This window comes from Homo sapiens, chromosome 5, assembly GCF_000001405.40.
Source record: "Homo sapiens chromosome 5, GRCh38.p14 Primary Assembly".
NCBI lineage: Eukaryota > Metazoa > Chordata > Mammalia > Primates > Hominidae > Homo > Homo sapiens.
In genome coordinates, this window is record NC_000005.10 from 31,838,544 (window position 1) to 31,854,843 (window position 16,300).

General features: G+C 43.9%; 1 protein-coding gene and 2 pseudogenes across 6 annotated transcripts in view, besides 2 other annotated features; 2 read left to right on the forward strand and 1 right to left on the reverse strand.

The window, feature by feature from the left end:
• PDZD2 (PDZ domain containing 2) overlaps window positions 1-16,300 on the forward strand; it is a 471,802-nt gene that overhangs the window by 199,413 nt on the left and 256,089 nt on the right. The gene's annotated exons all lie outside the window — the stretch shown is intronic.
• RPL21P56 (ribosomal protein L21 pseudogene 56) lies at window positions 1,914-2,458 on the reverse strand (annotated as a pseudogene).
• RPL5P14 (ribosomal protein L5 pseudogene 14) lies at window positions 8,687-9,674 on the forward strand (annotated as a pseudogene).
• Window positions 14,787-15,460: an enhancer, noted in NCBI's record as "H3K4me1 hESC enhancer chr5:31853436-31854109 (GRCh37/hg19 assembly coordinates)". NCBI's record gives its function as "activates a minimal SCP1, AML or CMV promoter by ChIP-STARR-seq in naive H9 embryonic stem cells {active_cell/tissue: H9 hESC(naive)}" and the evidence as "EXISTENCE:reporter gene assay evidence [ECO:0000049][PMID:30033119]".
• Window positions 15,461-16,133: an enhancer, noted in NCBI's record as "H3K27ac-H3K4me1 hESC enhancer chr5:31854110-31854782 (GRCh37/hg19 assembly coordinates)". NCBI's record gives its function as "activates a minimal SCP1, AML or CMV promoter by ChIP-STARR-seq in primed H9 embryonic stem cells {active_cell/tissue: H9 hESC(primed)}" and the evidence as "EXISTENCE:reporter gene assay evidence [ECO:0000049][PMID:30033119]".

Here is a 16,300-nt window from a genome sequence, read left to right on the forward strand (position 1 = left end):
GTCATGTCAATTTGCAGGTGAGTTTTCAAAAGCTGATCTGGAGGCATTGTTCTGTGAAAATAAATTAAATAGAACAAAGGCTAGGCAAACAAGTCATCGTTATTTTCTTCACAAGGCCATGGTTTTCAGTGGTAGTTTTTCATTGACTTAGTAGAGTAGGCTGATATCCATATAAATGTAACTCTAAAACCTCCCTGCCACTCTCACGTTATAGCACAGTCAGGGCATCTAGGCAAGCCACGGAGAATTCCAGGTCTGGGGCATTCCCAAGAGGCCAGGTCTGTGAACACATTCTGGACACCTGGCTTAGCTGACCTCCACATCAATCCTGTTGTGAGAGTTTCTTCATCTTCATCATCTGAAGTCTCTCTAATGGGTTGGGAGAGAGGGCTCAGCCTCTGCATCCCCTATTCTCCCATGTGGCATCTCAGCACGTGTCCCTCCTGCCCTCCAGATCATCTGTCCTGCAGGGACCCCAGAAGCTCTCACCAGAAAGAGATTTGGGTGCCTGTTCTGCGTACAGGTTGCCCTCTCCTGCCATCCCTGCATTGTTGTTAACTGCAGAAAGACAGGAAAAGGTCATCGCTTTTGAGTTCCTTCAGTTTGCTTTCAATTCTTTTACTCCCCTCCAGAGGTCATCTTTGAAGACAAGTTTTGTTGACAGGGGGTGCAAAATCTTAATTTATCTTTGTAGTGCTCCTTGAAGAAGACTTCGGAGTTCAAAGCAAACAGTAAGAAGAATGTTTGCTTTAGTGATATTTATCATTTTATCCTCTGTAATGACCACAGAAGAGAAAGGAGTTTGCACATAAGTTATAAATAATCATGTCAAGGGAAAATGTGGTAAAAGAAAAAAAAACAGATTTTAAGAACTCATTGGTGTTATTATAGAATAAATAACTGGCAAATATTTGGTTCATGAGCACATTTAAGGTTTAGAACTGAGATCTGCCTAAGAGACAGAAACCTGAGGTTTTAGGTAGAAGGGAGATGGAATATAATCTTTATTTTCAAGAAGCTTGGGCTGGACATGGTGGCCCACGACTGTAATCCCAGCACTTTGGTAGGCTGAGGTGGGCAGATCGCTTGAGCATTACAGGTTCAAGACCAGTCTGAGCAACATGGCAAAACCCCATGATGTGGTTTGGCTCTGTCCCCACCCAAATCTCATCTTGAATTGCAGTTCCTATAATCCCCATGCGGAGTGGGAGGGACCTGGTTGGAGGTAATTGAATAATGGGGGCAGTTAACCTCATGCTGCTGTTCTCATGACAGTGAGTTCTCACAAGATCTGATGGTTTTACAAGGGGCTTTTCCCTCTTTGCTCAGCACTTCTCCTTCCTGCCATCATGTGAAGAAGGACACGTTTGCTTCCCCTTCTGCCATGATTGTTAAGTTTCCTGTGGCCTCCCCAGCCACGTGGAACTGTGAGCCAATTAAACCTCTTCCCTTTATAAACTACCCAGTCCCAGGCAGTTCTTTAAAGCAGCAGAGAATGGACTAGTAAACCCTGTATCTACCAAAAAATACAGAAATTAGCCAGGCATGGTGGCATGCACCTGTACTCCCAGCTACTCAGAATGCTGAGGTGTGAGGATCACCTGAGCCCAGGGAAGCAGGCAGCTTGAGACTGCGGTGAGCCGTGATCATGCCAATGCACTCGAGCCTGGGTGAGACCCTGTTTCAAAACAAAACAAAACAAAACAAAACAAAACAAAAAAACCACCTCATTTTATTCTGAAGGTTTCTTTGACTGGGGGGGAAGAAACCTGAAAGTTTAATTACAATGGGCCTTGCAAATGCTATTTATATCTCCTATCCCCCACACTCATTCAAAGAGTAGTCATTTTCATTATATATATATATATATATATATATATATATATATATATATATATATATATATTTGTTTATAGTCCAGAGGTCTTTTTTTTTTTAACAGTAGCTATTTTGCCATGAATTCATAGGGAATGGGTTCCAGCAGCTCAGGCTCCTTCCCACTGGTTCTCACAAAATGTGCTTCTCTGCGTGGAGCAGGCTGGCACTTCAGTTGAACCCAGGTACCTTTCTGATAGGCTTCTTTCTTTTTCTGATCATTTTCCTCACGCGTTTCAGGAAGCTGTCTTGGCTCTTAGAGTGCTTAATGTGCTCAATATGCACATTAATTCTCTTGGCAAGAATCTTGCCCTTAACTTGTTTGTTTACAACAATGCCAACAGCATGCTGGGGAACATTGTAGACTCTTCCCGTTTTGCCATGGTGACACCTGTGGGGCGTTCCTTTTTGAACAGTACCCATTCCCTTGATGTCTACAATATCACCTTTCTTATAGATTCACATATACATGGACAAAGGAATAACTCCATGTTTTCTTAAAGGCCTGGAGAACATACTGGGTGTCTCTCCTCTTTCTCTTTGTGTTTCTCATTTTGGCGAATTACTGGAGGATGGCGGTTCCACTCATTATATTTTTGAAGCCTCATTTTGGTTTACGTTTTAAAGTATGTTATCAAAAGGAAAAACATTTAAATTATAAAAGCACTACTACTGAGTTCAGTAAGGCATAAAGAAGAAAGTAAATATTACTTGTCATCCCATCATCCAGTGGTGGGATATTACTAATATCTGGTCTATTTTGTCCTGAACTTTCTCTGTGCACATGTGTACACACACACACACACACACATAAACACACACATCTACAAGAATGCGTGGGCTACACACATCTGTGGGTATGAACTTAATGAGTCCTGATTCTACCACTTACCAAATGTGTGACCTTGGGTTATTTCTTAACCCCACTAAGCCAGGCTTTCCCTAACTGTAAAATGGAATTAAGAACAATACTCAGCCAGGCATGGTGGCTCACACTTGAAATCCCAGCACTTTGGGAGGCCCAGGTGGGCAGATCACGAGATCAAGAGATCGAGACCATCCTGGCTAACATGGTGAAACCCCGTCTCAACTGAAAATACAAAAATTAGCCAGACATGGTGGCGGGCGCCTGTAGTCCCAGCTACTCTGGAGGTTGAGACAGGAGAATCACTTGAATCCAGGAGGCGGAGGTTGCAGTGAGCCAAAATTGCACCACTGCACTCCAGCCTGGCGACAGAGTGAGACTTGTCTCAAAAAAAAAGAACAATACCTGGCTAGGTGCGGTGGCTCACACCTGTAATCCCAGCACTTTAGGAGGCTGAGGCAGGCCGATCATGAGGTCAGGAGTTCGAGACCAGCCTAGCCAATATGGTGAAACCCCATCTCTACTAAAAATACAAAAATTAGCCAGGTATGGTGGCGCATGCCTGTAGTCCCAGCTACTCGGGAGGCTGAGGCAGGAGAATCGCTTGAACCTGGGAGGTGGAGGTTGCAGTAAGCCGAGATCATGCCATTGCACTCCAGCCTGGGTAACAGAGCAAGACTCCATCTCAAAAAAAAAAAGAATAATACCTAACTCCTAAGGCGATGAAAGATTAAATGAGGATCTGCATGTGAAGGCTTATTACAAGTACTGACACCCCATGAACACTTAATGAAGGTGAGCCGTTAATTTGTAACTTTCTCTTGTCACTTTAAAAACACATATAGCTTGATAAGCCTTTTTGTAGCTTTGAAAAACTACCAGTTCTCCTCCATTTCATCCCTGTCTTAGCGGGGATTTGCATATATTTGAACTCTTCAAGTTAGAATCCTGAACCTACAATTACAGTCATTGTTAATATAATGTTTATGCACACTTACAGTTATGTGCCAGTTCATTCTAGCTCACAACACCTCTGCGAGGTAATTGTCATTATCCCCAGTTACAGACGAGAGAATCCAGGCTGGTAAAGGAGGGCTGAGATCTAAATCCAGGCCTCCTGGCTCCACGGCTCTGTTCTTCTCACCCGGCCGCTCATTCTGACACAGCCCATCCCCAGTCAACCACACAGCCTTCCAAAGGCACTGGGTTAAGTCTGAAAGCAGTTTCCTGGCTCGAATCTGGCTGGTTCCTAATAGAGCAACTGCTATCTGCTAGGCAGGGAAGGCCCCTGGACCAGAAGTCAAGAAACCTGGGTTCCTGGAAGTTCCCATATCCTTTTCACAGTTTCATTGCTTGCGGAGTGGGTAAAATAATATCTATCATTCCTTCTTTGTGGGATGAAGTGATAGCCAGATAAAAGTGATGATAATACTAACAATGTGACAGGAGTTTAAGAAGTTATAGAAGTCTTTTGTGACTATGTACTGATACTTTTATGACTAATTACTAATACTTTCATTACTAGTTACTATAAACCAATAATAATGAAAGTTTTTGTTTTTTTACCACCCATGTTTTTTGTTGTTGTTGTTTTGTTTTTTCTTTTTTCTTTTTTGAGATGGAGTTTTGCTTTTGTTGCCCAGGCTGGAGTGCAATGGTGCGATCTTGGCTCACTGCCACCTCTGCCTCCTGGGTTCAAGTGATTCTCCTGTCTCAGCCTCCCGAGTAGCTGCGATTACAGGCATGCACCACCACACCCGGCTAATTTTGTATTTTTAGTAGAAACAGGGTTTCACCACGTTGGTCAGGCTGGTCTCGAACTCCTGACCTCAGGTGATCCACCCGCCTTGGCCTCCCAAAATGCTGGGATTATAGGCGTGAGCTACCGTGCCCAGCCTATCACCCTTGTTTTTAATGACATTCTTCATGACTCTGGTAATTCAAAGTGTTTTCCCACCCTGGGCATATTAACAACAACTTTTTCTTTCTTTTTTTTTTTTTTAGATGGAGTCTTGCTGTGTCACCCAGGCTGGAGTGCAGTGGCACAATTTCGGCTCACTGCAACCTCCACCTCCTGAGTTCAAGCAGCTCTCTGCCTCAGCCTCCCAAGTAGCTGGGATTACAGGTTCCCGCCACAATGTCTGGCTAATTTTTGTATTTTTTAGTAGAGATGGGGTTTCACCATGTTGGCCAGGCTGGTCTCAAATTCCTGACCTCAAGTGTCCGCCTGCCTTAGCCTCCCTAAGTGCTGGGGATTACAGGCATGAGCCACCACGTCCAGTCATTAACAACTTTTTCTTGATATCATCATGTCCTTCATTCCACATTAACCAGCCTGCCCGAGTTTCCACCAGATCTTGCTTGCTACCCTGATTCCGAGTCTCCCCCACACTGCTCCATGTGTAAACTGGAAAGTAGTCCTAACAGGGTCACAGCTCCCCTTCATACCCTTTCCCCGCAGACTGCATTTATAAATGGGCTAAACTCCACCCTCCTTGGGGTTAAAGTGAGGTGGGCCCTTTGTACAGCGCCACATGTAAACAACGTGGCTTTTGAGATGTCCCCTAAAGCCTGGAGAGGAAGCCACGTTTTTCATTTGTGAGAAAATTATTCAAGGTTCTATCTGGTCCTTTGCTTTTCCCAACTAGGAGGTTTTTCAGCTGATGGAGAATGGTGGTGGACCAGATAAGATCAGAACTGAGGCTGGAGTCCTAAAGTTGCTTTTCTGGAGGATTTCCTAGAGTTGGAGAACATGGAATAATTAGGAAGGGGCATCTGATCCTTGAGGTCAATTTGGAAGAATTGAGGGAGCTACCTACCCTCAATTCAGTGTTTCCTGAATGTGGTTCATTGACTTGTAAAGAGGAGACATTTTGATATATCATTGTAAGAGAGCAAGTCAAGGTGAAACACTCAATTGAATGGTAATTGCTTGGGAAGAGAAGAAGGGTCAAAGTGGTTGAACTTAATGATGCAAAAAGAATGATCATGAGAAGATAATTATAAATGGAGTGAGAGATGTTAGGCAAAGGTGAGGGACTTCAAGTCAGCTATAAAGAAAATGATTAGAAACCTATTCTTGGAAGCAGATGTCCATCAGAGTGAGAAACAGAGACCATAAAGGAATATCTTCAAGCTTCTCGATTTTTAACAATGTGCATATGTTTTGTTTTCCATATATTTACGTATTACTGAGTATAGAAATGATTTTTGTCAAGACCAAGTGGTAAGGACTTGGTTGTTATAAAATAAGATTGTCAGATTTAGCAAATGAAAAATTCCATGTGATTTTTGGGATCTACTTAGAGTAAAATAATTACTCATTTTTCATCTGTGATTCAAATTTAACTGGGTCGCCTATATTTTATCTGGCAGTGTTAGTATAAACCTGTGTAAGGAAAGGCACCAGCCCCTGCTAGATGAAGGTTTGCTGGGGAAAGGAACAGTCTCTGGGATACTATCCAGCTTCAACTCTCCTTTATAGAAGGCCCTTCATGGTAACACAGCACTCACTATTATAAAACCATCTGGCAGGGCTGGGTGTGGGCCCCGCCTAGAGGTGAGCAATGGCTGTAATTGATTTTCTGCTTCTGAGTTTACGTTGCCCAATGCCCAGTTCTCAGGGATAGGTCAAAGCAGAAGACCTCTGTGAGTGGGAACAAGTTTCTTTAAACAAGAAACAAGTTTCTTTTATCATATACAACTGAGCACAAATTATTCATGTTTTCGAGACTGTGAAAGGTAGAAATGGAAGAAGATATTGTTACCACGTCAGAAGAATGGGAGATGAGAAGAATTCTTTCTCTCTCTCCGTCAGATGCCAGTAAGCAATCGGACTATCAAACATCTCCAGACATTGCCAAATGTCCCTGCGGGGATAGGGGAAGGGTGTGTAAAATACCTGATTGAGAATCACTGGCTTACAATATCAGGCATCATCCTAGACACTCAGCCTCTCCTCCTCAACAAGCCTTTAAGGTAGACGGTTTAAATATAAGGACAGGAAATGTCAAATGACTTACCCAGAATCTCACGGATAATCATTATGGGATTTGAACTTTAAACCTAGGTCTTTCTTATTCCACTACGTCTCCACACTGCCATATAACACACAGTTCCAACACCAAAGGAACTTCAGAGCTATCTGGAGAGGTGTGATGTGAACCAAGTAAGTTTCAGTGTGTTCCCTGGAGAATGAGTGATGTGAGCACTCAGAAGAGAGAGCTAACAGTGGGAGGGAAGTCAGGGAACGTGTCCTGCACAGATTAGAATGTTCTTTGCATATTTGTGGGCAAACAGTGAGTTTGTGCAGAGAAGTGGCAGGAAGTAAGATCCGGACAGATAGCATTGGGTAGCAATTAAGAGTAAGCACTGGTTCCAGGTAGACTCTCAGATCCAGCTCCTCTACTTATTAGTTGTGTGACCATGAGCTACTTAGATAATCTTGTCCAGTTTCATTGCCTGTAAAATGGGTTGCTGTAATAATAGTACATATTCTAAGATTGTAATAGGGATTTAATGACCTAATACATAAAAGGCTTACAACAGGTCTTGGCATCCTGTATGTGTTCAATACATGCTAGCTACTTAGTACTTGGTTCTGTTGGACTTCAAATAGAGTTTAGAATCTATATTGTAAATAATGGCAGCTTTTGAATCAAGACCTGCAAAGATGTTCCAGAGGCACCACAATCCCCCTTCCTGTGTGCACTGGAAGATCACAAATTAGTATATCTTTGGATCAGAAACCATTCTCCGGTTCCATGAACTGTTCTGTTCCTGGGGAACTATGTCAAATGGTTCAGCCCCTCTGTGGTGGCTTTGGGTTTGAAGCATTTTGTTTGTTTGGTTGGTTGGTTTTTTTCTTTGAGACGGAGTCTCACTCTGTTGCCCAGGCTTGAGTGCAGTGGCGCAATCTCGCCTCACTGCAACCTCCGCATCCCGGGTTCAAGTGATTCTCCTGCCTCAGCCTCCCGAGTAGCTGGGATTACAGGCGTGCACCACTGCACCCAGCTAATTTTTTGTATTTTTAGTAGAGACAAGGTTTCACCATGTTGGCCAGGCTGGTCTTGAACTCCTGACTTCAGGTGATCTGCCCACCTCGGCCTCCCAAAGTGCTGGGATTAGAGGCGTGAGCCACCACGCCTGGCCAGGTTTGAAGCATTGAGGACATCTTCCCAACAGAGCTGCGAAGAGGGAAAGAGACATGGGCATCTGTTCAGACGTCATTCACTCATCCATCCATTCAATCAACATTTACTGAATACCTTTTTAATTCTGGGCATCATGTTTCCATTAACTACATCTGGAACACCAATAAGTCACCACCCCGTCTGTGTGTCAGCTGAAAGTTGATTGGATAGAATTGTCATTGTTTAGTTTCAGGACAATTCAAAGTTATATTTGTGGATTGTGTCAGAATCCTGAGGTTTCTTCTCATGCTTTGCTTGGTGCCACTGCTGGGCCTTGTGTTTGTGGAGAGCTGGTGGCCCTGGATGTGGTCGGGGATCTTCTCCTGGGAATTTCCGCTTTCTTCCTTTCTTCAGCTTTTTACAGCTGCATAAGGTTTAGATCTGTTAGCAAACACTTGTATAATTATGCCCCTCTCTGTTTACAGATTTAGGATAAATTGTCCTAATGGGAAAATATCTGTCCTTTAGAGTAATTTGGATCAAGGCTTTTTATTTTTTGTTTGTGTCTGGTTCACTTGCCTTTCTAAAAATCATTTTGCTGTCTGTTTCACTCATGAATCATCTATTGTTGATATACAACAGCACTCAATAAACCTCGTTAAAAATCTTGTCTTGATCTAAAAGTAGTTGACATTGGGGAAATATGTGACCCATCCATATGCTGTCTCATAGATACTGAATTGAAGGAAACATTGGATTATTGTAAGGCTCTTTGGGGACATCTGATAAGAAGCCCACAGAAATGACAAGCCAGAGGTCTGTGCTGAGCTGTGACATGAGTCTCTGTTCTGTAGGGTGGGGTTTGTTAAAGTTGTCAGGAATAAGGCCTACTTTAAAAGATACAAAATGAAATTTAGAAGACGACAAGAGGGTAAAACCGATTACTATGCTAAGAAACGCTTGGTGATAGAGGATAAAAATAAGTACAACACACCCAAATACAGGATGAGAGTTCGCGTAACAGAGATATCATTTGTCAGATTGCGTATGCCCATGTAGAAGGGGATATGATAGTCTGCACAGCTTATGCACACACTGCCAAAATTTGGTGTGAAGGTTGGCTGACAAATTCTGCTGCAGCATATTGTACTGGCCTGCTGCTGGCTCGGAGGCTTTTCAGTAGGTTTGGCATGGGCAAGATCTAGGAATGCCAAGTGGTGGTGACTGGAGATGAATACAATGTGGAAAGCATTGATGGCCAGCCCGGTGCCTTTACCTGCTATTTGGATGCAGGCCTTGCCAGAACTACCACTGACAATACAGTTTTGGAGGCCCTGAAGGAAGCTGTGAATGGAGGCTTGTCTATCCCTTGCAGTACCAGACGATTCCCTGGTTATGATTCTGAAAGCAAGGAACTTAATGCAGAAGTTAATGCATTGGAAGCACATCACGTGTCAGAATGTTGCAGATTACATGCGTTACCTAATGGAAGATGAAGATGCTTACCAGAAACCATTCTCTCAATACATAAAGAACAGCATAACTCCAGACATGATGGGGATGTATAAGAAGGCTCATGCTGCTATGCAAGAGAATCCAATCTATGAGAAGAAGCCTAAGAAAGAAGTTGAAAAGCAGAGGTGGAACTATCCCAAAATGTCCCTTGCCCAGAAGAAAGATCAGGTAGCTCAAAAGTAGGCAAGCTTCCTCAGAGCTCAGGAGCGGGCTACTAAGACCTAAACCAAACAATTTTCTATGAAGATTTTTCAGATAAAGACAATCAACTTATTTACTAAGCAGCTGAAGAAAAGGAAACAGGAAATGACCGACCAGAGCCTTGACCACCATGCTGGAAAACCTCATTTCAGTTCATGTGTCTTAAGGCATCACAGTCAAGAAGCATTTGTATTCATTCATTCCACAGTCAAACCTACTATATGCAAAGTTAGATTACAGCTGAATAATTAAATGTATAAAGGTGAACCTTGATTTGAATTCTTCAGCTTTGTGGGAGATAGCAATGCACCCTCCCTATCAGAAAGTGAACTTGGGGCCTGGCGCCGTGGCTCACGCCTGTAATCCCAGCACTTTGGGAGGCTGAGGTGGGCAGATCACCTGAGGTCAGGAGTTTGAGACCAGCCTGGCCAACATGGTGAAACCCCGTCTCTACTAAAAATACAAAAACCAGCCAGGTGTGGTGGTGGGCACCTGTAATCCCAGCTACTCAGGAGGCTGTGGCAGGAGAATTGCTTGAACCCGGGAGGCAGAGGTTGCAGTGAGCCAAGATCGTGCCATTGCACTCCAGCCTGGGCGACAGAGTGAGACTGTCAAAAAAAAAGAAAAAAGAAAATGGGCCGGGCACGGTGGCTCACACCTGTAATCCCAGCACTTTGGGAGGTCTAGGTGGGCAGATCACGAGATCAGGAGATTGAGAACATCCTGGCTAACACGGTGAAACCCCGTCTCTACTAAAAATACAAAAAATTAGCCAGGCGTGGTGGCAGGCGCCTGTAGTCCCAGGTACTAGGGAGGCTGAGGCAGGAGAATGGCGTGAACCCAGGAGGTGGAGCTTGCAGTGAGCCGAGATCTTGCCACTGCACTCCAGCCTGGGCGACAGAGCGAGACTCCATCTCAGAAAATGAACTTGGTCCTTCCTTTCCTCTGTTTTGCTGGGAAAAGATGATTATTTCCCCAGGCAATGTAAACCTGTGTACAGCTTGCTTTTCAGTCAGTTTGGCCAATAAGCATGAATGCTTCTTTTTGCAGTGTTTCCTCCCTCTGAATAGCTAAAAATACCTAATGATAAGAGGCAGTGGTGTAATGATTACGCACACCCTTTTGAGTCAGACCAAATGGGTTTGAATTAGGACTCCAGCATTTATTAGCCGTGTTACTTAACCTCTTTGTGACTCAGTTTCCTTGTGTTAGAATAAGACTAATAATTATACCCACTTCACAGGGCTACTGCAAAAAAATGAGATAATCTAAATAAAGTACTTAGCACAGTGCCCAATATAATTATAGTAAGAGCTTAATAAGTCATAGCTATTATTATCATTATCATCATCAACTAATTATTTAAACACATTAAAAAGCAATACGTCCCGTACACAGAACAGGAGCGAAGCTATGAAATACACTTACCAGGCTGGGCGAGGTGGCTCACGCCTGTAATCCTAGCACTTTGGGAGGCGGAGGTGGGTGGATTACTTGAGGTCAGGAGTTCGAGATCTGCCTGACCAACATGGTGAAACTCTGTCTCTATTAAAAATACAAAAATTAGCCAGGTGTGGTGGCGTGCGCCTGTAATCCCAGCTACTATGGAGGCTGAGGCAGGAGAATTGCTTGAACCCGGGAGGCAGAGGTTGCAGTAAGCCGAGATTGCGCCACTGCCCTCCAACTTGGGTGATGGAGTGAGACTCCATCTCTCTCTCTCTCTCTCTCATATATATATACATATATATATATATATACACATATATATATATACATATATATATATACATATATATATATACACATATATATATATACATATATATATATACACATATATATATATACATATATATATATACACATATATATATATACACACACACGTATATACTCATATATACACGTATATATATATACGTGTATATATAAGTATATATATGTGTATATATAAGTATATATACGTGTATATATAAGTATATATACGTGTATATATGTGTGTGTATATATATAAGTATATATGTGTATATATGTATATATAAGTATATATATAAGTATATATGTATATATAAGTATATATGTGTATATATATAAGTATATATATATATATATACACACACACACACACACATATATATACTTATCATCTAGTTAATGTCCACAGTTGGGCATATTTTTAGCGATGCCCATCCCAATAAGGAAAACAAAGGTCCGATGTTTTGAGAGAACATTACATTCTCATGGCACCTTGTTTGTGAGTTAGGGAACACAGGGGTTCAGGATCTTTACTCCCACATATGATGGAATAACAGTGGAACGCTATAGTTCTAGAAGGGAATAGAAGGCGTTTTCTAGCCTCACTTCTGCTTAAACATGCAAAACTATCACTTAGGATGGAGTCTGATAGATGGAGATTGCACAGTGTTATCAGATGAGACTATTCTAAGGTGAAGTCAGTTACCATTAGCATTAAGCAAGTCGTCTTTACATTGTACCCAAATTCTTTTTTTTTTTTTTTTTTTTGAGACGGAGTCTTGCTCTTTCACCCAGGCTGGAGTACAGTGGCGCCATCTCGTCTCACTGCAACCTCCGCCTCCTGGGTTCAAGCGATTCTTCTGTCTCAGCCTCCCGAGTAGCTGGGACTACAGGTGCATGCCACCATGCCTGGCTAATTTTTTGTATTTTTAGTAGAGACGGAGTTTCGCCGTGTTAGCCAGGATGGTCTTGATCTCCTGACCTCGTGTTCCACCCGCCTTGGTCTTCCAAAGTGCTAGGATTACAGGTGTGAGCCACTGTGCCTGGCCTCCCAAATTCTAAAGTTGTATTTTGAGTCTCTTACCTCTTATGTCCTCTGTAGAGATGATGAACAGCTGGTCGGTATCCTCTTTATAATAACCCTTCAAGTAGGAAAAGGCTGTTAAGTTTGCCTTTAGGCACTTTTTTTTCACTCTAGACTAAACAACTCCAAATCCTTTAACTTCCCCTCATAAGTTCTATTTTCTGTCTCTTTAATCATTTAGGTTCTCCTTTGGAACCTTTCCAGTGTCTCCACATCTTCCTTAAAATAAGAGGCATCAGATTGGACATACCCCCACCCCCCACAACCCACCAGTAAGAGTCTGTCTGCTGTCAAATTCTTTATTATGGGGTAGGGAGAAGGGGGGCACTTCCTTTTCCTGTCAAACTCCCACCAGCGTGAATTCACCCCAGCACTGCATTGCCTATTTCTTATCAGTGCAATATGCAGATTCCTATTAAATGCATGATCTGCTGTGATCCTCACCTCTTTGTCAGTTTTTCTTGAATCTAGACATTAAGCCCCATTTGTGCCTGTCATTTTGATCATCACCCCTGAGGATACCACTTTGAAATCAGCCATCATGCTGAACTCTAAACTGTTTTTAATGAACCATTTCCTTAATGTGTGGAAGCTACTTTGGATTCTGTTAACGTATCAGCAGTTCCCACTCAAATTAATGTTATTTGTAGACTCTGGGTATGCATATAGCAATTTCAAGTATTATTTAAACCAGACCCAAGACAAAATCGTAGACCACATGCTAAGCACCCCTTTGTTTACTGGGCCATTGATCTCTTTTCCAGTCAGCAGTGAAACCTCAGTTAGGGAAAAGACGCACCAGATCATATCTTTCTGGCCTGCTGATGAGAATGGCATATGGATGCAAAAGCTTTCCTGAAATTAAGGTATTAGGCAGATGTGGTCACATTTTTTTTTTTCCCCTGAGATAGAGTCTTGCTCTCTTGCCCAGGCTGAAGTGCAGTGGTGGGATCTCGGCTCACTGCAACCTCCGCCTCCTGGGTTGAAGTGATTCTCGTGCCTCAGCCTCCTGAGTAGCTGGGATTACAAGTACCCACCACCACACCTGGCTAATTTTTATGTTTTCAGTAGAGACGGGGTTTCACCATGTTGGGCAGGCTGGTCTTGAGCTCCTGACCTCGTGATCCGCCTGCCTCGGCCTCCCAAAGTGCTGGAATCACAGGCGTGAGCCACCGTGTCTGCCGTGTGGTCCCATTTTCAATTCCCAGCACTTACGTGCCCCAGACTGAGCTGAGGCAACAAAGATGAGGATGGGGGCAGAATATTTCTTTGCATTATACTTAAAACCATACATTTATTTTTATTATTTATTTATTTTATTTATTTTTGAGACTGAGCATTGCTGTGTCGCCCAGGCTGGAGTGCAGTGGCGCAGTCCGGGCTCACTGCAACCTCTACCTCCTGGGTTCAAGCTATTCTCTTTCCTCAGCCTCCCAAGTAGAGTAGCTGGGACCACAGGCGCGTGCCATCACGCCTGGCTGATTTTTGTATTTTTAATAGAGATGGGGTTTCACCATGTTGGCCAGGCTGCTCTCAAACTTCTGACCTCAAGTGATCCAACTACCTTGGCCTCCCAAAGTGCTAGGATTACAGGCATGAGCCACCACGTGCCTGGACTTTATTATGTATTTATTTTATGTTTTTGAGTTGGAGTCTCACTCTGTAGCCCAGGCTGGAGTGCAGTGATGGGATCTCGGCTCACTGCAACCTCTGCCTTCCGGGTTTAAGCAATTCTCCTGCCTCAGCCTCCCAAGTAGCTGGGATTACAGGTGCCCACCACCACACTCAGCTAATTTTTGTATTTTTAGCAGAGATGGGGTTTCACCATGTTGGTCAGGCTGGTCTCGAACTCCTGACCAAAAGTGATCCACCCACCTCGACCTCCCAAAGTGTTGGGATTACAGGCGTGAGCCACTGCGCCTGGCCCATACATTTACTTTAAACAGCATTGATGTACACATCATCAATTATGTACCTGGATTGAAGGAGTGGAGAAAGAAGCTAAAACATTGGGAAACTGTTGTGGAAAAAACACTCAGAAAGGAAGCAAAGGAGCACTTCTCAAATTATTATTAGAAAATTATTCAATTTGAACTTAATTCCCATAAAACTTATAGGATGCTAATGAAAGACTACCACTTCCTGGCAGAAGAGTGGGAAAAGGGAAGGGGGTGGAGCCAGCATTCACTGAGACCCTTATAATATGTGTAAGCCAGACACTTTGTGTTAGAGAATTCTAATACCCTTGGTTTTTTCTGAAATCATCAGCCTAATTTGCTTTGACCCAGGAATTGCGATGTTTGGAGGACTGGTCTACAAAGCTTGTTCTCACTGGGCACATGTAGTGTTCTCCTAAACTCCATGAGGTATTGTTGGTTGCAGTACCCAAAACTTCTTGAAATAAATCTTATCCTGGGGTTCTGTTTCCTTTTGGTTCTTCCGAAGGAGGAATACCATGACCTGACACTCCTTGCCTGTTTCTGGGTTGGCTGTTGTGCCCACCTGAATGAAGCAACTAGGGGTAATTCCAGGACTGGTAATGATGATAATTATTTACTATGTGCTCTGGGGCTGCTTCTGAGAGTGGGCAGATTTCCAGCCCAGGCTTGACATGGGTTGGCCCCTCCTGGGCTTTAATTACCCATTCCGGTGGCAGTAATGGTACTGGAATTGAAGCTTTCTTTTGCCTCCTCCATTATAATTAATTGCTTCGAATTCCACCAGATCTGTCCGTTGCAAAGCTCATTTACTTTTAGGGGCTGCTGGATGCCCACAACCAGAGCTTAGAGCCAGAGGGGTGGAGTGGGACTGGGGTGTGACTTAACCTGAACCCCAAGGAGTGGAGTGTGTGCCTGCCTGTGCAAGTCCCGGGAGGGAGGCCCAGGGCTTGAGTGAGTTTGTTTGCACTGAGATTGGTGCCATCAACCTCAGGAGCTCTCCATTCCTCTAGCTCAGGTCCCTGGGAGCTCCACCCTGGGTGCCTTTTGAAGCCAGGTGAAATGTGTTTTGAGCAGACGTTCCATAAAGGCTTGAGGTTTGGCACCAGTGACGCTTTTACTTTTCAACAAGTGTCAGGAGTGGAAAAATGGAAGAGAATACAGCTGAAGTTTTGAAAAGCAATGAAATGTGGGGTGACTCCCCCTCCCGCTGCCAGCCCCCCTCCCCTGCTTTAAGAAAAGCAAACACTCTTTTCCTGTCTTATTTGTGTTCCCATTAATTTAAGACAGGAAGCCTCAGTGGGTGTGATGTAAACAATTCGGCCTCGTGGGTCGGGCTTCCTCATCAGTTTGCAGCTGGAGCGATGGCTGCAGGGCCCAGGCCCACTCAGGCCTCCTGGGGGAGGGCTTGTTGACTGAACCCCACAGAAGGTGGGAGGGGTAGGGGAGCGGGAGAAGGTATAAAGGAAATGCTTCAGTCGTGCAGTCACCGGCGATTGTAATTCAGCGGTGTTAACTTTGGTTACTCCAGCCGAAAGGCTCTGACCGGGGATTTCTGGAAAGTTCCCTGACATCCTGCCCCATACGATGGTTGTGATTTTAGCTGGGGGCTCCACCCCTGTAAGAACTCAGGCTGCCGCGGATTATGAAACGGAGTGGTCATGAAGTGAATTGATGTGGGAAGGTGGAGCTTCTTGCAATGGCTCGGAGGGAGAACTTTTGGTGCAAACGAGGGTCTAGGGTAGGGCGCTTTTTCCTCTAACCTGCTCCAGGTTTGCCCCAGGAAGCTCCTGAGCCCTCGGTGTAAACAAAGGTGTCTGGATGAGAAGCCCCAAACTCCCTGAAATCCTCCCCAGGGCGGTTTCCTTTTCCCGGCGAGGGGAGTGACCGGGGAGGGGATCTTGGAATGCCGTGGGGTTTTGACAAGTGAGCAGGG